The sequence below is a fragment of the Homo sapiens genome, chromosome 8, assembly GCF_000001405.40.
Source record: "Homo sapiens chromosome 8, GRCh38.p14 Primary Assembly".
In the NCBI taxonomy this organism is placed as follows: Eukaryota; Metazoa; Chordata; class Mammalia; order Primates; family Hominidae; genus Homo; species Homo sapiens.
In genome coordinates this window covers 35,027,877-35,049,446 of record NC_000008.11, presented here as the reverse complement: position 1 = coordinate 35,049,446, position 21,570 = coordinate 35,027,877, and positions in this window count along the sequence as shown.

Genomic DNA, 21,570 nt, shown 5'->3' with positions numbered 1-21,570 from the left:
GGCCAGGCTGGTTTCCAACTCCTGACCTCGTGATCTGCCCACCTCGGCCTCCCAAAGTGCTGGGATTACAGGCATGAGCCACCGCACCTGGCCTGGCATTTTTTAAAGGCTCCTGAGATGATTCCTATGTATAGACATTGTTGAAATCACTGAGCCTTGGGTCATTAAGGTGACCCAAGGTGATGCTGAGCTCAGCAGGAAGAGTGGTGAATGGTGGGCCATCTTTGGTAGAAGCTGAAGTTTCTGGGCTCCAGCCCCCAGTAGCCATGACTGTTGTAGTTTCAGCTTCTGCAAATGACCCCAAACTTTGAGCTCTAATAACATCTTCTCTTTGTCTCTTTAGACAGAAAGAAGATGTGGCCTGCAGGTACTAATCTCTGGGCTCCTTCATCTGCTTCAGTTGGTGTCTCAGTTCTTCCATTACCTGGTTAAATTACCTTGGTTTTAAGTGCTGGGAGAGATTTCTGTTTTAATGGTTAGACTCTGACTGATATATCTCCCATCTTTAGGAAACCTTTGTCTTAAATGCTACATTCTACTTAAGCTATGCCACATTTCCCTGTTTTCTTAACATTTACTAATATTTGTTTCTGCTTCTTCTCCCTGTTTTCTGCCCAGTCTTTCCTGCAGGCTTTCATCTGTACCAATCCAACCAGGCTGCTCATCTCATGGGATTAACTGTGCATTATAGTAGATAATTCTTAGTCATTATCAAACTTGACTTAGCAGCATTTGGCACAGTTGATTATTCTCTCTTGTTGAAAGGCTTTTCTCACTTGCTTTATGAAACAATGTACTTTCCTAGGATTCCTCCCTTCTTTACCTTCCTTCCTTCCTTTCTTTCTTCTTTCTTTCTTTCTCTTTCTTTTCTTTCCTTTTTTTTTTTTTGACACAGTCTGGCTCTGTTGCCCAGGCAGGGGTGCAGTGGCACAATCTGGGCTCACTGCAAACTCCGCCTCCCAGGTTCAAGCGATTCTCCTGCCTCAGCCTCCCAAGTAGCTGGGATTATAGGCTTGTGTCACCATGTAATTTTTGTATTTTTAGTAGAGACAGGGTTTCACTATGTTGGCCAGGCTGGTCTTGAACTCCTGACCTCAGGTGATCCATCCACCTCGGCCTCCAAAAGTGCTGGGATTACAGGCGTGAGCCACGAAGCCGAGCTGTTTCCTCCTTTTCTACTGGTCACTCCATCTTAGTCCCTTCTTGAGACTCGTCTCCTTTTCCTGAACTAAATGGAGTCTGCTTGCCAAAGGGCTCAGTCTTGGTTCTGCCAGAGATGCCACCAGAGGCAGAGAGCCTGAAAGGAATATTTTATATTTTCATTGCTCTTTTCCTCCAACCTCCCCCAGTTTTGTCTTATTTTCCAGATCTACCAGAAACCTCAGCATGAGAAATGCAACCTACAGGGGCCAGACTCTGCAGAGCCAGAGAGGTCCAGACAGAAGCCATGACAGCAGTAGATATGACAGGGGCAATATTGTTGTACCTTTGTTTACCTATAGGAATAATCATTAGAGAGGGAGAAATTGATGATGCAGAAGAAAGAAAGCAAGAAGGACAGGTGGTTTGGTAGCAACTAAAGGTGTCTCCATCGCTCTCAAACCTACTCTTCTCCACCTCAGTAAAGGGCACCACTGTATGCCCAGTTGCCCAGAACCCCATACAGAAGTCTTTTCACTCACACTTGATGTCCAGCTAATTCATCAGCAAGTCCTATGTCCTATTGGCTCCACATGATAGTGTAGCTTCAATCCAACCACATTTCACTATCTCCTGGTTAGACTTAGGCCTATCATCTCCTGCCATCTTCTAGTGGCTTCTTCTACCACCTGTCTGCCTTCATTGTATTGCTCTGCAATCACTTGACTACATAGAAAACAGAGCCTTCTTTTTAAAATCTGAACAGATGTTGTTCAAACCCTTAGTCTCAGGCCCACAGCCCATGCCCATGTAGATTATGTATTGCTCAGCTGTGTGGACTATAAAATGAATGGCACCTTTGTCATTATACACCTAGACACCCTGCACAGCATGAAAACAAACAAACAAATTTGTTATTGTGGCCCCCTGAGTCCTACAAGATGGACCCAGCCTACCTCTGTGGTCTTGTCTCTTACCATTCCACCCACTGATCACTATGCAATAGTTGCATTTGCCTTGGATATGCTTAGCTAACTAAATCTCAGGGAGTTTGTATTTGCTGTTCCTTCAGTCCTGATATTCTTTGCTCACACCTGTGTGTGCCCTGCCCCCACATTTCATTCAGGTTTCTTTTTAGAAATTGTCTCCTCGGCCAGGCACAGTGGCTCATGCCTGTAATCCCAGCACTTTGGGAGGCTGAGGCAGGTGGATCATGAGGTCAGGAGTTCGAGACCAGCCTGGCCAACATGGTGAAACCCTGTCTCTACTAAAAAAAAATATAAAAACTAGCCAGGCGTGATGTCACGGGGCTGTAGTCCCAGCTACTCGGGAGGCTGAGGGAGAAGAATCCCTTGAACGTAGGAGGTAGAATTTGCAGTGAGCCGAGGTCACCTACTGCTCTCCAGCCTGGGCGACAGAGCAAGACTCTGTCAAAAAGAAAAAAAAAAAAGCCTCCTCATAGAGGCCTTCCATGATCACCTTGTGTTAAAGACCATCCTCAGCCTGAAGTTATTCTCTTTTTAATTTGGTTTGCTCTCAGTTTTATAGCATTTATCTACTTGGCATCATATTATATATTTAAAGCATATTGTCTTTTTTTTTTCTAAAATGGAAGCAAAAAACCTTTTAGCTTGATCTCTGCTATGACCCTTCTAACATAAAACGTACCTGGCACACAGTAGGAGATAATGCATTTTTGAATAAATAAAAGAATCTGTAAATGACTGCCTGGATATGCTTTTGTCAGAGCTGAAAATACCCATTGTATAAATTCTTTTTTTTTTTTTTTGAGATGGAGTCTCACTCTGTTGCCAAGGCTAGAGTGCAGTGGTGCAATCTTGGCTCACTGCAAACTCTGCCTCCCAGCTTCAAATGATACTCTAGCCTCAGCCCCCTGAGTAGCTGGGATTACAGGCACGCACTACCACACTCAGATAATTTTTGTATTTTTAGTAGAGATGGGTTTTCACCATGTTGGCCAGGCTGATCTCCAACTCCTGACCTCGTGATCTGCCTGCCTCGGCCTCCCAAAGTGCTGGGATTATAGGTATGAGCCACTGCACCCAGCTTCCTTTGTATAAATTCTTAAGACTCTACCAATAAAGTTATTTCCAGATACTATATGAATCTCAGAGTGTCAGAATATTGTTGAATTCCATGCAGAAGTCAGAACAGTGACTTTCCACGAAGCTTAATGTCACATAGCAGTTCCAAAGCAGTGCAGTCATCCCTCAGATCCGTGGAGAATCTGTTCCAGAAATTCTCCCAGAAACCAAAATCTTTGGATGCTCAGGTTTCTGATATAAAATTGCCTAGTATTTGCATACAACCTATGAATATCTTCCATTTTACTTTAAATAATCTCTAGATTTTTTATAATACCTAGTACAATGTAAATGCTATGTAAATAGTCATTATGCTATATTGTTTTTCAATTGTATTTTTTATTGTTGTATTGTTATTATTTTTGCTTTTTTCCCCTCGAATGTTTTTTATCTGTGGCTGGTTGAATCCATGAATGCAGAGCTCATGGATACAGAGGACTGACTGTATTTATTTTGATCAGTGTTTTCAATGTTTCCCCAAATAACTCCTCTAGGCAATATTGCCTGTGCTACGCTGAGTGTGAGTCTTACGTGAAAATTGTTCCATCCACTGTCTGCCCTAGCTCAAACCAAAGAGACTCTACAGTCTAAGGGGCCAGGCAGAAAACAGGCCCCATGTTGTCATCCCATCTCTCTTCTTGTTTCTTCCTGAACTTCCAAATCATAAGCCCTTAGGCATATCACTGTCAACAGAAGAAATAATTCTGGGCATAGAGAAGAGGGCGTTCTGTCTAAGAATGTAGCACCTGATCGCCAGAAGAGCCAACCAACTTACCCTATACCAGTTAAATATATCTTAAGAAATATAGGCTATGCTGGGTGTGATGGCTCATGCCTGTAATCTCAGCACTTTGAGAGTCTGAGATGGGAGGATTGCTTGTGACCAGGAGTTTGACCAGCCTGGGCAACCTAGTGAGAGCCTGTCTCTACAAAAAAAAATTCTGAAAATAGCTGGGTGCAGTGACACACGCCAGCAATCCCATCTCCTCAGGAGGCTGAGGTGAGAGAATCGTTTGATCCTAGGAGATCGAGGCTTCATTGAACTATAATCATGCCACTGCACTCCAGCCTGAGCAACAGAATGAGACACTCTCAAAAAAAAAAAAAAAGAAAAGAAGAAGAAAGAAAAAAGAGAAGAAAGAAAGAAGAAAGAGAAAGAAAGAGAAAAAAGGAAAAAAATATAGGTTATGCAAAGACAAGTTTATTATGACGAAATGATATTATGTCTAAAGTTTGCTTTAAAATAATCCTTTGCAAGTAGGGAAAGAAGTAGGAAAAAAGAGATGAAACAAAGTTGGCAAACAATTATGATTCTGCATCTTTCTGCATCTCAGTGATGGATACATGAACAGATCCATGTGTACTTTTGTCTACATGTTTTTGTTAAATTCCTCCATAATTAAAAGCCAAAGAAAGAAACAAGCAAAAGAAAAAATGTATAGGTTTAGCATCAGCAGAATACCAAACATCTTCCAGTTTGTTTGTAATTTAGGGTTGTGTAATGTTATACTTCTCATGAAAACTCCCAGCAAATACAGAGACTCCAATTCAAAGAATAGATGTTCTCTACCCTTTGACAAGAAATTCTTCCCTAGAAGACAAGTTTGCATTTCTAAATAAATTGGGGTCAAAGAGTATCTGCTATGGTTTGAATGTTTGTCCTCTCCAAATCTCACATTGTAACCTAATTTCCATTGTAATAACAGTATTAAGAGGGTGGGAAATCTGACTACGGTATTTGAGAGGTGGGACATTTGATATGTAAGCAGGATTAGATGAGGTCATAAGGGTGGGGCATTAGTGGTTTTATAAGAGAAGGAAGAGAGATCCAAGCTAGCACACTCAGCCTCTTCATTATGTGATGCCCTGTGCCACTCTGGGACTCTGCAGATTGTCCCCACCGGCAAGAAGTTCCTTACAAGATGCTCCCACCACTACCTTGGACTTCCCAGACTCCAGAACTGTGATAAATAAATTTCTTTTCCTTATACATTACCCTGTCTTAGATATTCAGTTGTAGAAACAGAAAATAGACTAAGACAGTATTCAATCCACCTTTCTTGTTGTCCCCTTCAAAACTGAGCTTCCAAATATATCTGGACTCTGAGGAGGCTTTTGTCCAGCACTGAAATGGGGACTCCAAGTGAATGTGGCAGATAAGGCCCACAGAGGATTAATTTGTCATAGTTCTTGCACAGAAGTTGCCTTTTCTGACACTACATTCCAATGCTGAATGCTTCAAGCAGAAGGCCATAGGCAGCAACCAGGGCACACTGCAGTACTCATGAGACCTTCCACAAACAGAGCGAACAGGGTTCGCTTTCATTATTTGTGCTCCTAGATTTTTAGTGGCTGATATTTATGTAAAGGTGAGAGAAAAATGACTTCTTTATCAGGGGCAATGTATCTGCCTTCTTGGTCCCTTCTCCTTCATATTCTTTTCTAAGTGGCATGCATTCACATACCTAACCACCTGTCTTAGCACTGCTCTATTAAGACATACCTTTAAAGCTAAAGGTTCTTTTCTACTTTCAGAATTTTTACCAGAATGGTTCTTTTCTACTTTCACTCAGGGTCTACCTATTTTTCCTAATCAATTAATAGGTAAAAAAAAAAAAAAAAAAAAAAAAAAATCCAGGCACAAGTCTAATCCACTTTTTAGCTGTCTCTTATCAGAAAGCTTGTGCTTTTGCTATAATTTCTTCTGGTCTTGGTTATTTTAAAAAGATGACTTTCTTAAATGTCGTTTCTTCCTGTGGATGTTTCTGACACAAAACAAGGGAAAACATTGCAATCAATACTTGTAACATTTTGTTCTTTGGGTTCCAGAGTCTACACTCCTGAAGTAACTCTGTTAATCATCAGCAAACTTTATGTCATAGGTTATTTCTCACTAAATCCACCTACTCATAGACAGGAGAATGAAGTTTAATAAACCATAGAGAAATCTTCCCACAGAGAAACCAGGGGCTCAGACTCTAGCAAGCTAATTACTATATTTTGAAAAAGGTCGGGTTGACCTGAGGCAAAGCCATGAAACAGTTGGCATCTGTGCCTCAGTGCTTCGTCTAGATTTTCTTTCCTTCCTGCACTTTATTCTGACTTTTAATTATCTATTTCTCATTGTATGCTCAGTATCTCTATGTTGCACTATTTTTCCACACTTAAGAATTAATTTATTCGAAGGAATTACAAGTTTTAATTTTAGTTTCTTACTTCTCATAGGAGAATTTGAGAGAGAAGAGCTTAACTCAAGGAGTGAATGGCTGAATTTCAGTCCCGAGGGCTCTCTGGAAAGAGTAGGCATTTCCTTTTAGAGAACTTCGCCAGGCACTTCTCACTGAGAAAAGTAGAATGAATGAGAAAGCTTTCAGACCCAGCTTCTAGTCTTTCCTCTGTCAATCACTAGCTTGGTGACTGGGGAGAATCAACTTACCCATTTGGACCTCTGTCCTCCCTTGTATGCAGTGGAACTATTGGGCTTGTGCTATCAGGTCCCAGAGCCCAGCATCACATCTGCACACAACTGGCATGCTCTCTGAATGTGTGCCAAATGGGTGATGGGAAATTACTTCCAGCTTTACCCTTCTGTGATATTAAGTCACATCTTGAAAGCAATTATCTGCTTATGTGTCAGTCTAGTCCTGGCATCAACCACTTAATCAAAGTGCATGCAAGTTTTATTTGGTAGGGTTGGAAGCTTATAGGAGATAGGGCCATTTTCTCAGCTGGTTCAAATTCTTATAAAATATAGAGAAATTTCAAAGGGACCTTGGAACTGAAAAAGGTAATTTCGGCTTTACATTGATGCTTCTTTCAAGATTTGTGTGGAGGACAGGACAGGTTTATGATAGCCAGGCACAGGTCAATTATAGAATATAAAGTACTCACATAAAGTGTAAAGTAATAAGTAATATACAAGGTACAGTAACAAAGAAGGGTCATATCTGCAGCTTAGCATCCCTAAACCATGTGCTTTAAAGCTACAGTTTCTTCACTGAGGTTAGTGAGTGTTTCCACAAAGCATTTCTTAGGAAAAGTTGCATTTTCTGGAATGTCGTAGGAATTATATCAATAATGCCAACTTTCTATGAATCTCTAGGTCCCTGGGATTCATATATGCTTAAATACATTCTTTTCTAGACATGCTACATTTGTTATTATTAATTCATTTACTCAATAAGAAAGTCTTCATCTGAAGACGTATTACATGTAAACTACTGTGTGGGTTACAGGGGCTATAAAGATGAAGAATATACATTTCTTGTTACTGACAGTCTCACAATATAGTTGAGGAAATAGGTTGGTAAACATAATTACATCAACAAAATGAGTATTACAATAGTCACTTCAAAATAATGTGATACAAACTTCAAAATACTATCAAAGAATGGTGAGGGATTGTATCTAAGTTTTACTAGGTGAAGGAGAAAAAAAGTTAGGAGTGGCTTTATTGAGGAAGTGGTTTGGACAGAGTGAAGTTCACTTCAGAATCCACAGAGGTAGAGAAGAGCGGGGAAATCTTCACTCATCTTCTCTCCCTCTCGCCAATAAACTGAGTTATTTCTTCTGTTTGGAGCACATCGTCAATGTGGGAGAATATCGGGGGTTAAGACTGAAGCTTCTGGAAAAATTTGATTTGTTAAGGGACGGAAGAGTTAAACTGTTATAATTATTATTAGAGTTCTCTGGAGTCCTTTGAAAGAAAAGATCAGTTAATTTTTTTTCCAGTCTTGTAAATCTCAAAACCAATAGGTCACATGCACAGGAAAATGATACCTAGTGATATACATACCCTTGAGCCTGAAAAGGGATCTTGGGACATACTATTTATGGTTTTTGTGAATTAATCAACAAAATTTAATTGTCACAACCTTGAATTGTATTAAAAAATGATTGCCATATAAAAGTAAGTTTACAAAGACATAGCCACTTTCCTTGAGACCATTTCAGGAAGCCACGATATAGACACTAATAGAATAGAGAGGAAAGTTATAACATGTAAGTAGTGACTAAGTGGTGTTACATCTATTATAACACTGAGTCCTCAGAGTGAGAGATCACTGGAGTTTAGAGTGGTAGGGCTACGACTGGTGAAAAAGGTGGGTTTCCATCTTAAGTTTGAAGAATGAATGCACCTCAGAAATCCTGAAGGAGGAGGTCATAGCATTTCAGCTTGGGAGATTAGTATAAATAAAGACTTGAAAGTGCCATTTATTGTGACATTTTTTGATAAAATTAATCATTTGCTTATATTGTATTAACTAACTAAAGTCTATGCATTATTCATGTTTTGTTTTGTTTTTTTCTTTTTTTTAGACAGAGTTTTGCTCTTGTTGCCCAGGCTGGAGTGCAATGGCACTATCTGGCCTCACTGCAACCTCTGCCTCCTGGGTTCAAGCGATTTTCCTGCCTCAGCCTCCTGAGTAGCTGGGATTACAAGCGTGCACCACCATGCCTGGCTAATTTTGTATTTTTAGTTGAGACGGTGTTTCTCCATGTTGGTCAGGCTGGTCTTGAACTCCCGACATCAGGTGATCCGCCCGCATCAGCCTCCCAGAGTGCTGGGATTACAGGCATGAGCCACTGTTCCCAGCCTATTCACATTTTTTTAGTCTTTTCCTAAGTCCTTTCTATGCCAGGATTTCATCCAGAATACTGCATACCATTTAGTCATCATGTCTCCTTAGGTTCCTCTTGGCTGCAAGAGTTCCTCAGACACCTCTTGTTTTCTAGCACCTTGATAGTTTTGATAGATTGGACAGGTAATTTATGGAAGAACCCTTAAATAGGATTTGCCTGATGCTTTTGTCATGATTAGAGTGGGGTGTGAGTTCTTGAGAGGAAGACTACAGAGATTAAAGTGCCATTGCCATCACATCCTACCAAGGGTTCATACAAACAATATGACTTATCACTGTTGATGCTAACCTTGGTCAACTGGCTGAGATAATGTTTGTCAGCTTTTTTCCACCTTAAAGTTACTCTTATCTCCCCTCTTTCCATACTGTACTCTTTGGAAGGAAGTCACTATGTACAGCCCACAATTAGGGAAAGGGAATTGTAACCCACCTCTTTGAGGGCAGAGTGTCTACATAAATTATTTGAAAGTCTTCTGCCTCATCTATTTATCCTATCATTCATTTATATCAGTATGCACTCACATTTATTTATTTTATACCTTGGGTGATAATACAATACTACTTTATTTTTTTGTTCAAATTGTTCCAGCTTTGACCATTGGAAGCACTTTCTGTTGGCTACTGTGCCACTTTGACTTCTTGTCCCCTTTCACTGTTCTTTTTGTTGTTGTTGTTTTCTTTTTGCAATTCCTCACTTCTGGGCACTCCAAGATGCTCCAGGCTCATCTTGTGTATTTCCAAACCTAGGTCTAGATTCAGTCCTTTGTTAAGGTTGACCTCACTCTTTTTATTGAAGAAAAGGATTAGGAACTAATGTCTGGGTGCTACAAGCACAACTTGCTGCAGGTGTGTTCTTGCTCTGAGGCCCCCTCAGCTGACAGAGCAAGAGGATAGATGTGTATGGACATACATTTTCTATATATGGATACATGTCTACACATATTGCTACATGCAACCACCTGTATCTTTATTTAAGTTAAACATGAGTGCATGCTGTTTCCAATTCTAACCCTTTACCACATGAATCCTTCTAGTCTCCTTCCCTCACTTATCTGTAACTTCTAAATCAACCGGCAAGAAACCTGGCTCATCATCCATTTATTTAATTGTTCAAATATAGCATACATGTAGAAGCATTAGAATCATTAATCATTAGCCATTAGTATTTGGCCGGGCATGGTGGCTCACGCCTGTAATCCCAGCACTTTGGGAGGCCGAGGCGGGTGGATCACCTGAGGTCAGGAGTTAGAGATCAGCCTGGCCAACACGGAGAAACCCCATCTCTACTAAAAATACAAAAATTAGCCAGGTGTGGTGGAGGGTGCTTGTAATCCCAGCTACTCAGGAGGCTGAGGTAGGAAAATCACTTGAACCTGGGAGGCGGAGGTTACAGTGAGCCTAGATCACACCACTGCACTCTCCAGCCTTGGTGACAGAGCAAGACTCTGTTTCCAAAAAAAAAAAAAAAAAGAATTATTAATCAGTATTTATATGGGACAATTTGATCAACTAGAATACAATTCTTGTATATAGGTAATTTTGCCTTTAGTTTTACAGATTTCACTAATTTCCAGGTTATTTAGGTCAGCAGTTTCTTCCCATCCTGTACAGCGAGGTTGTTTCATACATTTGTAATACAGTTAGTTGGTTTTTTGGGTCACATTCTGTATTCTATCCTGGGCTTCTCCAGTCCTCCTCAATGATGCTTATTTAATTTGCATACATTAAGTGCTGTACAGTTCTGTAAGTTTTGCCAAATGCATAGTGTCATGTATTAGCTATTACAGTATCACACAGGATAGTTCTGCTACTCTAAAGAATCTCTTTGCTTCCCCTACTCAACCTTCTCTCTTCTTTCACCAAACCCCTGGAACCACTGGTCTTTTATTATTATTATTATTGTCTCTTTTTATGGGTTTGCTCTTTTCTGAATCTCATCTCATTGGAATTATACAACATACAGCCTTTTCAGAATGGCTTCATTCACTTAGCAATATGCACTTAAGATGCATCCATGTCTTCTTGTGGTTCGATAGCTTGTTTCCTTTTAATGCTGAAAAACATTCAATTGTTTAAATGTATTACATCTTGCTTATCTATTCATATATTGGAGCACATTTTGGTTGCTTCCTGTGTTTGGTGATTATGAATAAAGCTGCTATACACATTTGAGTGCAGGTTTTAGTGTGGGCAAATATTTTGGAGCATGATAGCTGGATCTTATAGTAAGATTATGTTTACCTTTTTTAAAAATTGTCAAATTGTCTTCCAAGGTGACTGTATAATTTTACATTACACCAGTAATGAATGTGATGGCAGTTACTATTACTCCACACCCTTCTCAGCAATGGGTATTGTTCATTTTACTTTCTGTTTTGTTGTTGTTGTTGTTGTTGTCATTCTAATAGGTGTTAGTGGCATCTCATTGTTGCTTTAATTTGCAATTCTCTAACAAAAAATGAAGATGAGCATCTTTTCAAATGTTTAGTTGCCATCTGTGTATCTTCTTTGGTAATGTGTCTGCTCAGGACTTTTGCCCATTTTTAAATTGGGTTGTTTGTTTTCTTATTGTTGAGTTTTAAGAGTTTTTTGTATATTTTGAAAACAAGTCCTTTGTCAGATATACATTTTGCAATCATTTTCTCCCAGGCTGTGGCTGTGCCTATGTTCTTTTAGCAGTGTCTTTTTACACAGCAGAAAGTCTTAATTTTAATAAAGTCCAACTTACTTTTTTCTTGGATCTTGCTTTTGGTGTTGTGTCTAAAAACTCAACATCAACCCCAAGGCCATCTAGATTTTTCTCCTACATTTTCTTCCACAGGTTACATAGCACTGCATTTTATATTTCATTAATGTCTGTGATCCACTTTGAGTTAATTTTTGTGACTTTGGCATATGGGCATTCTATAGTTCTAGCACTGTTTGTTGAAAAGACTGCCCTTTCTCAACCGTATTTCTTTTGCTATATCATCCAACTTTACTTGACTACCTTTTCGTGAGTCTGTATTCTGTTCCATTGATCTATTTGTCTATTCTTTCATAAATACCACGCTGTGATGATTACTGTAACTTTATAGTAGGCATTGAAATCAGGATAGTGTGAGTTTCCCAAATTTGTTTTTCTTTATTAGCATTGAATTGGCTATTCTAGATATTTTGTCTTTCCGTATAACCTTTAAAATCAATTTATGTCAATATCTACAAAATATCATCCAGGAATTTTGATTACAATTTTGTTATATCTGTAGATAAAGTTGGGAAGAACTGAAGTCCTAATAACATTGAATCTTCCAATGCATCAACACAAAATATCTCTCCATTTATTCAAATACTCTCTGATTTATAAAATAATCAGAGTTGTGGAGATTTTTATATGCAAAATATCCATAATTTGTTAGATATGTACTTATGTATTTAATTTTTGAGTGCTTTATAAATGGTATTTTTCTTTCATTTCAAATTCTAATTGTTTATTGATGATACATAGAAAAGCAATTGACTTCAATATATTAAAGTGGTATCCTACAACCTTACTTTACTTACTTATTAGTTCCAGGAGTATTCTTGTCAATTCTTAGAAATTTTCAAAGTAGATAATCCTGTCACCTGGGAACAATGACAGTTTTATTTTTTCCTTGTCAATCTATGTACCTTTTCTTGTTTGATGAAAGTAACTAAGCCTTCTAGTACTATGTTGAATAGCAGTGATAAGAGAGGACATCATTCCCTTGCTACTGATTTTAGTTGGGGAGATATCCAGTACCTTACCATTAAGTATGATGCTAGTTGTTTGGTTTTTTGGTGGATGTTCTTTATCGAGTTGAGAAAGTTCTCCTTTATTCCAGGTTGCTGAGAATTTTTTACCATGAATAGGTGTGGTGGCAAGAAAGGGGGAGAAAGAGTTCTATAATCTTATGATTTAATTTCGGTTTTTCAGTGGGCATGGGTTTTCAGACTGTGACCTTCACGAATACTTCTCCTTTGTTATAGCTTCATTTTCCCCTTAGGTGATACAGGAAAACTGGAGCACCTGCTGTGAAAACAGTACTTTTCCCCACATAGAATAGGGGCTTAGGAAAGCCTTTATCCCTGGAGAGTAGTTATGGAGAACACTCTTGGGTGTACAGAATTTCAAAATGATTACTTTGCCTTCACATGTCAAGATAATCTTTCTTAAATCTGCACCATGTGGTAAAACACACAAGTCTGAGGGATCCCTTAAAACTGCAGGCCTCAGGAATTTCTTACTTTAATTGTCCCTGCCAGTAATGGGCTCCAGCAACCTCTTCTCTAGGTAAGCATATCACTACTGTGAACACCTTAATGTGACTCTTTCTCCAGATTTGGGGCTATAACTTTTTCCATCAAACTCAGCTGTCTAATGGGTCCAAGAAAAGTCATTGCTTTTTAGTTTTTTCAGTTTTTAATAGTTATAAAAATGGGCTTGATCATTTTTAATAGTTATAAAACTATTCAGTTTTTAATAGTTATAAAAATAGGCATGAACTCCCAAACACTTTACATGTGGGAGCTGAGACCAGAAGTCAATCTGCAACGTTTGAAATCTCTCATTTGGGAACCCAGATTCTTCAGATTCTGAGCTGTCCGCCATCCATCATCACAATCTCCCTTTTGTCCTGAAAACTTCAGGTGGTCTTGGAAGCAGAGAAACATTCACCTCAGGAACAAATAGGATGACATTCAGTTGAATTGAGAATATGCTAAATGAAACCAGGACAGATTATGTAAATAAATTGTAAACACTTTCCCTGTACAAAACCCTTTTATGAAAAAAAATGTTGTAAGGTAACATTTTCTGGATGGAGCAGCTGGGAGCATGGCATCATTTATTCCAGCTATTGATTGAGTGCCTATTTTATGCCAAAATATGTGAGAGGTGTTGGGGACATGAGGACAGGTAAGATAAATATACTCACTGTGCATATAGAACTTAAGTTAGGGAAGACATATAATACGGTGTACTTAATGATATGCTTTGGAGGAGAATCTTCCAGGCAAGAGAAAAAGCCTAAGCAAACCCTAGAGATAAGAGAAAGCATGAACTAAAAAGAAATACAGAATTCCAGGATGGATAAAGGATGAAATTTGTCCTAGTCAAAATCACAGCAGGAAATAAATGGCACATTCAAAAGGTATAATTGAAGATAATTTAAGGAAGGAACTGTTTGCAAAGATGTTGGCAGGGTTAATGGGAACCCTCAGGCATTGATAAAATAGTTGGCATTGATAAAGTAGTTATCTCCCAACCTGAAGGAGGATGTAATGGGAGTGGTTATGAAAACTGGGGGAGAGTTATGGCTGCAGAATAGGGATGCTGGGGGAAGGAAATGTGGGCCCTGGGCTGAGAAATGCAGCTTCTGCCAATTGCTGGCCAGACAGGAAAAGATCAGAGGCATAAATCTGTCCTAGGATATCCTGTGGTTGCCTGTGATTGGTTGAACCTAATCAGAGGCAAGAGGGTTCAGGCAGCCTGTAGAGTTTATCCTACTTTCCAGCAGGGTAGAAAGGATGAAGAATGAAATTGGTAGGGATGGGGTGGCAAACTGAGATTATATTGAGATTATATGGCTTAGTTCCCTTACATAAAGGACTACATCCTATCAACGATCATATGTTAAAATAATGAATTGGGAAACCATTAGACTGAGGACACTTCAGTTCCCTGGGTTCCTATGTAAACAAACTGAAACCCAACACAGGGTAAACTGTAAAAGAAACTTAAACTTTACCAGAAACTGCCAACTAACCTCCAATCAAGATCTTTCCACTGGAATGATTTATAAAAGACTACTGTTCCACATTAACCCATCCAATAGTGTCTTTGTCTTGCATCTGTATTCACCCTATAAAGCCTTCCCCTTGTGCCCTTTTTGATGGAGTCCTGAAATGCCTGTCGTCTGTAGCTGCCTGATTCATGAATGGCTGTCTGCTCAAATAAACTCTTTACATTTCCAATGTGCCTGTTTATCTGTTAACACGTCATCACCACGTGGTGTAATTTCAGGTATATTTAGCCACAAAGACCAAAATATGAGCCTTCATTAATATGCTCTGTATTACATAAAAATGGGAAAAGGGGGTATCATTAAAAAAATTGATTAAAATAAAATACAGGTGTAACAGTCCTACATTTGTAGCTGCTCTTAAAGTCTAAATTAAAAATTAAAGCTTTCTTTTCTGTCACTGATTTCATGGTCCCTTTGATCTCTGTCAGCGATTTCTTTGGATAGAGTTCTTTATTAGATGGGATGAACCACAACATAATTTTCACAACCGCTGGGTCTTTGGTGGTCCTGACTTTGTTGGATGGCTTCAGTTTCCTATTGATTAGTATAAGTTAAGAGGCATCCAAATGTATCTGCTGCATTTTGGTGAATTCCTGATTTATCGAATTTTCTCAGCTTTGTATTGTGTCCCTCTGTGTGTTAGATGGATGGTACAGCTGCAGAGACTTGTTTTCCACTGTAGAAGGGAGTTTTAACATACCTCCTGTCACTGGGCCACTAGAATTTCAGCAATGCAGCAGGCCTGGGCTTTTGGGGGTTCCTGTCTCATCTTCTGGCATGAATGTGTGTTATATAGGAATATACGGTAACAATAATAAATAACTGGGATGAATTGGGATAATTATTCTTAATGTAATGAACTAATGTGGTCTCCTATGAGATATCCAGTTTTTTGTTTATTTTTTTTTTGTTTTTTTGTTTTGTTTTGTTTTGAGATGGGGTTTCACTCTGTCACCCAGGCTGTAGTGCAGTGGTGTGATCATAGCTTACTGTAGCATAGAACTCCAAGTAATCCTCCTACCTCAGCCTCCCAAGTAGCTGGGACTACAGGTGTGCGCCACCATGCCCAGTTAATTTTAAAATTAATTTTTGTACAGGTGGGGTCTTGCTATGTTATCCAGGCTGGTCTGGGTAACATGATCTTTCATCATGATGAAGATCTTGTGCTGCCGCCTCTAGATAAATAAATCTGGGTAAAATTGTTTCATCAGAACTTGTCTATATGTGATGTCCTCTGAAAGTCTGTAATAAGGTCAACTCATATTACAAATTTTATCCCTTTATTTTTAAACTTTATTTATCCCTTTACTTTTTAAACTTCCTGACCTCAAGTGATCCTCCTACCTTGGTCTTCCAAAGTGTTGGGATTACAGGTAAGGGCCAACATGCCCATCCCAATATCCAGTTTTTAACGTTTTCCAGACAGTGAACTGGGGAGCTCTCAAATCTCTGAGCTTACAAAGTAAAGATAAATTGCTGTCTCTGCTTCCCGAAAGCAAATTGCCTTGGATTATGTTTGTTGATGTGGACTGAAAACAAAGCGTGTGTTCAGCCAATATCTGTGTATCAAGTAACAGAAGCTGTGTTGATTTGTGCCAGTAGGTCCCACTTGCAGAACTATAGCCACAATAGGCCCCACCACCTGATGAAATTTACAACAATCTACCTTCACTCTCTAAGCAGAATGGATCCTGTACCAGGCAAACAGGTGAGTTAAATGAGCCTGAAGTCACATATTCTTGCACCTTGCAGCTTTTGGTGGTGGCACTAATCTCTGTAACACCCCCAGGGAAAGGATAAAGCTTTTGGTTTACTGCACTGGAGGGTGAGAATGTGGCATTTTCTAATTTCCTTGGCTTCTGAGTTCTTATTTTATTCTTTAAAAGTAGTAGATGCCCAGGACTGTCTATGATATGACCCACCATGCCTGTTAGATCCTATTTTAAACCATTCTTTGTATTACTTGCTAACCTTGAAGGGAAAAGTTAAAAAAAAAAAAAGAAAAGATTTTTCTGAGGTCAAGGTCCAAAGAATGATATATAACCATTGGGGTGCTGTTAGACAAATAGGCCAGGTTGTTTGGTGAAATTTCTTAATGTTTCAGTTGAGAGGGAAAAGATGAAGCATGAAACATAAATACAATCCATTTACCAGCAATGAAGGTTTCCAAGGGTGACTTTTGGCTTCTTTAGATTTTCAGCCTAGGGAGAATTATTGTTATTTTCTCAGATACTGCCTTTTTCTGAAATTAGTAATGGAATAGTATTGTATTTTTCTTTGGTATGGAATGAGATGATTTATCTCAAAGTAAGAAACAAAGAATCTTGTCTTAAAGCATGGCTATGTATGCTTATTTGGTAAGTCATTAAAAGGAGGCAGGTGTACACATGGAGGGTAATTTGGAGGGCTTGGTGATCCTGTACTTCTGCCCCTAGACAAATAAATCTAGATAAAATTGTTTTATCAGAACTTGTCTGTATATAATGTTCACTGAAATTCTACAATAAGGTCAATTCAGATTACAAATTTTATCCCTTTATTTTTAAACTTTATTTGATTTTGAGAACATAAATATTTTCTTCTAAATAACATAGAGGTCAGTTCTTTAAGTATATGAACCTACTTTTTAAAACAACTTTCCCCTCTACCTCATATGATCTGGGTTCTTGATCAGTTAAGAAGTTGTTTTCTTGTAAAGCAAAGATATGATAAGTGTTTGTAAACATCCTCTCCAATCCTTGAAACACTAAATTGGCTGATTTTCAAAAGTATTCAGGTAAACCACTGCAAATTTTAAGTCTTTGGGAAGGATCCCATCATTTCCCCAGTTTACTGCAATAAAGAAAAAGCTCATCGATGTCCATGAAGCCACTATTTTTGCTCACAATAGCTTGAAAATATAATGCCCTCTCCCTCATCCTGCCTTCTAGACACCATGCAAGTAATTTTGTAATAAACTTTAACCCAGAACCATACAGGAAAGAAGTATCTTGAAAATGTAGCTCCTAGCTTCCACACTGCATTACAGAGGAGATCTCAGAATGGGGATGTATTAGTCCAGGTCCTCTAAGAAGTAGACTCCATGTTGGAGTCAAAAATAGTTTTTATTAGGGGAAATGACTGTGAGACAAAAATAGAGAGGGTTCTAGGGAAGGCTGAGAGAGCCGTCAGACCATGATCCTCTTCTGATCAAAGCTAGGATCAGAAGGAGACAAGGCTAGATGGGACAGATAACCTTGCAATCTAATGGTTTGCCAAGGTGTCAGAAAGTCTTCAAGCCAGATTTAGTCTTTGGAAGAACCTCAGGTCTCCCAGAAGGATGTCTGCCTTATATTCCCACCACACTCCTTAATTGGCTGGAAGCAGCTCACGGGAAGTATGGTCTCAGCGCAAATTTGGCAACGGATTTCAGAGCACACAACAGAGGCTCTTGCTCATTTCCTTGTAGTTGCAGGTTTGTGAAATATATTCACATGGCCATTGCATGGAAGATCTAGTGAAAGACTGGATTCTAACAGTCTATTACAGCCCACTCTATTGTCAACTTAGCATCTACACCACCCTTTTAACCCATATTATTTAGCTTCTGATATAGACCAGAATAATATAAGATGCAGCCTTCTAACTAAAACCAAAACCATCCTCACCTTCCCACAAAGTGGAGACACTAAGTTGTTCATGCTGCTTTATCCCCAGTGTGTGATATTTTTCACTCTTCTAGTGAGGTCACAACTGTCTTGTTATCCTTCAATTTAAATACTGACTTATGCAGTTAACTGCTATTAACACAACTTACATCAGATAGAAAGTGAGTTGGAGAATGGAAAAAAATATTACATATGTATAAAAATAATACACATTAAAGGAATAAAATTGTGAATAATCATTCGAGTTCTCATTTTTTTCAACTGGTTATGAGGCTGTGACTGCAATTGGTGACTTTCTTTGTCCACTGTTCATTTCATTTTCCCTTTGTTCTTAGCCAGCACCCCAGATGGTTATGGGTCTAGTTCTGGGAGTCTGTGCTTTTAATGTTTTTGCTTGTGTTGTGTTATCATAGTTGCTCACTAACTTTTACTCTGAGATATGGAGGCACTAAGAGGTTCCCCAGAAAATCCCTTGGGTCTCAGTCATGCTCCTTTATGCCCCATTGTGTGATAGTACCCCTGTTTCCCCGATACTCAAGATTAATTACCCAGCCAATACATAAACTGCTTCTTTGGCTGGTGGGTCACTACACGAGGAGTGCATAGTGGTCAGATGTCAGTCTCAACTTTCAGGTCAATGAAACCCTTATAGTAACACCTTTCTGTTTTAGAAAAGCAGAACCCAAAGTTTTGATGATGAAAAGCCAAAATTTTCTAGTGGTTTATTAGGTTAGTGAAAGGAGCCATTCTTGTTTCCAGTCTTGGGTTCCTAGACTTCTATATCCCACCTACATGCTGGCTCAAATCACGTATCATACCTGAAGGACATTATCAGGCCCTGTAAAAAAGTATTAGAACCCAAGTGATGCCATAACTGGCTGAGTACTTGAAAGTAGATTTCACTCTTCTACCTGACCACCTCTGAAATGGTCTCCTATGCTCATTCTCTCAGTTAATAGTTCTTTACTACACCTTCATTCAAGACAATTAGAAGCTGCAGAAACTATTTATTTTAGCCATCATGGAGATGTCTAAGTTGTGATTACCTCCTCTTAAGTTCTCAAGGATAATACAGCAGTCACATCAATTGTTAATTTTTAATTAACAAATTAAAAATGCTTTAATATAGGCACAAAGAATATGCTATAGTGATTAAGAAGGGGGCAAATTCCCTCCTAGTTTGGAGGTCAGAAAAGGCTTAATAGAGATGTGTGGTGGTGGAAGAGATATTCTAGTCAGTGGAGCCAAGAGCAAGACTAAAACGTGTAGCAATTTCAGTGAATCAGCAAGAGTTTCTGACTTGGTCAGAGATACAACAAGCATAAGAAACAAGTGGGAAAGGAAGTTTGAAAGGTGGAGGGTATGAGATCTTTGCAGGAACTGAAATGTCAATCTAATCACTTCTTAGTGCAATGAGAAGCAGTAGGAGGGTTTTCCTTTTGTTTGTTTTCTTCCAAACAAATGTTGCAAAATATTAAGATGAAAGAAAGGTCAGAGCTTAAACCCTGTTTTTACTCTCAGTTGTGTGATCTTGGAAAAGTACACCTCTCTCTGAACTTCAGTTCTATTGTCAGTACATGTGGATGATAATACATGCTTTAAAAGGTTAAGAGGATTAAATACTTGCTCTAGTATCTAATATTTTAGGAAATAAATACTCCCAAGCCTCTCAACATGCGTTATGCACCGAACTAGGCAGTGGGTCATGATAGTGATGAATGCAAGATTGATAGCTATACTTGGGATGCATCACATGTTTCGAACCAATGACTCACCCTGCACTGGGTCCACAAATGGTTTTGTGAGCAGAGTTTGAGGTCAGAAGTCAAAACACCCTGAGGCCACTGGGCATGAATGGGTAGAAGGATGGGACTATTCTTCAAACCACATTTTATTGGATTATGACATATTCCTTTTACTTCTCTTTCATCTACTCATCCCTTAGGTTGAAAAATTACTTTATTACATTTTGTTGCAATCCTAAGAAAAACCTGTATACAGGTATCCAATTTCATAACTAAATTTGGAATAAAAATGTTCATTTGGTGGACCAGTTTAGAATTTCAACAGGCTTTTCTACCAGATTCCCCACCCTCCAGCTCTACCCCTTGACCCCAGCATCTTCTGTGTTATGAAAACACTCTTTAATTCCAGCTAACATAATCATAACCATAATCATAATGAATCATCATCATTATAAATAATAGCTTGTTCTTGTGATGTACAAGCATTGTTCTAAGCACTGCACATGTTTTACATTATTTGATGCTCAAAATAAAGCTACGAGGTATATGTTATTTTTATCCTCATTTTACAGATGAAAAGACTGGAATTGAAAGGGATCAAATAACTTTAGAAAAATGCTTGGCTGCTGAAAAGAACTGAGTAGAACAGAGAAGCCAAGGTTGAGAGCTCAATCACACCCCTTGTTGCCTCTCTTCTACCCTCATTCTAAGCCCAGTCATCCTCCAAATATCCCCACTAGGTTTCTTCACTTAGGGTTTACATATCTATAAAATGAAATAATCTGGGAAAAAAGTCTAGATTTTCTTAGCAACAAAATCCCTCCTCTTCCCATTCCCTGCTCCTTTTCCTCTTTCTGCACCAGCACAAGACTAGGCCTGTTTAATTTATCTATGGAGACTTAGACAGCCCCGTGGAGTGGTGTGTCAGTTTACCTCAATGCTGAGCTTTTTTAAAACCCCCTCAGTAAAGTGCACACTTAGTCAGGTTGAATTGCTAGAGACATTAGAAGAGTCTTCAAAGCCTGCATGGGAAAATAGGAGAAACCCACAGCAAAAGAGGAGTTTGAGGAAATATCAAAGGTGCCTAGTAAGGATTTTATTACATTTTATTGATATAAATGTAATCCTTTATATATGTATGTATGTAGTCCTTTATATATGTAAACCTTTCTTTGCCTTCCTAGGTAAGCTTAACATCTGTGTATGTATGTACCTATTTATGTATCTATCTTATCTATCTATCTGTCTATTATCTACCTACCATCTGTTTATTTATCTTGCTAATACATTGTGGAATTTTGAATCTTGGGAAGGACATCCGAAATTTGAACTTAGTATGACCTTTGCCCTACAGTTAGGCCAGTGTCAAGAGCCAAGGCTCCCCGCAGGCAGCCAGCCATATCTGGGTCACATCTTCAACCTTTTAATACTAGCAAGGACTTATCTAGCAGTTGCTATGAACCAGATGCCATCTAAATACTTTA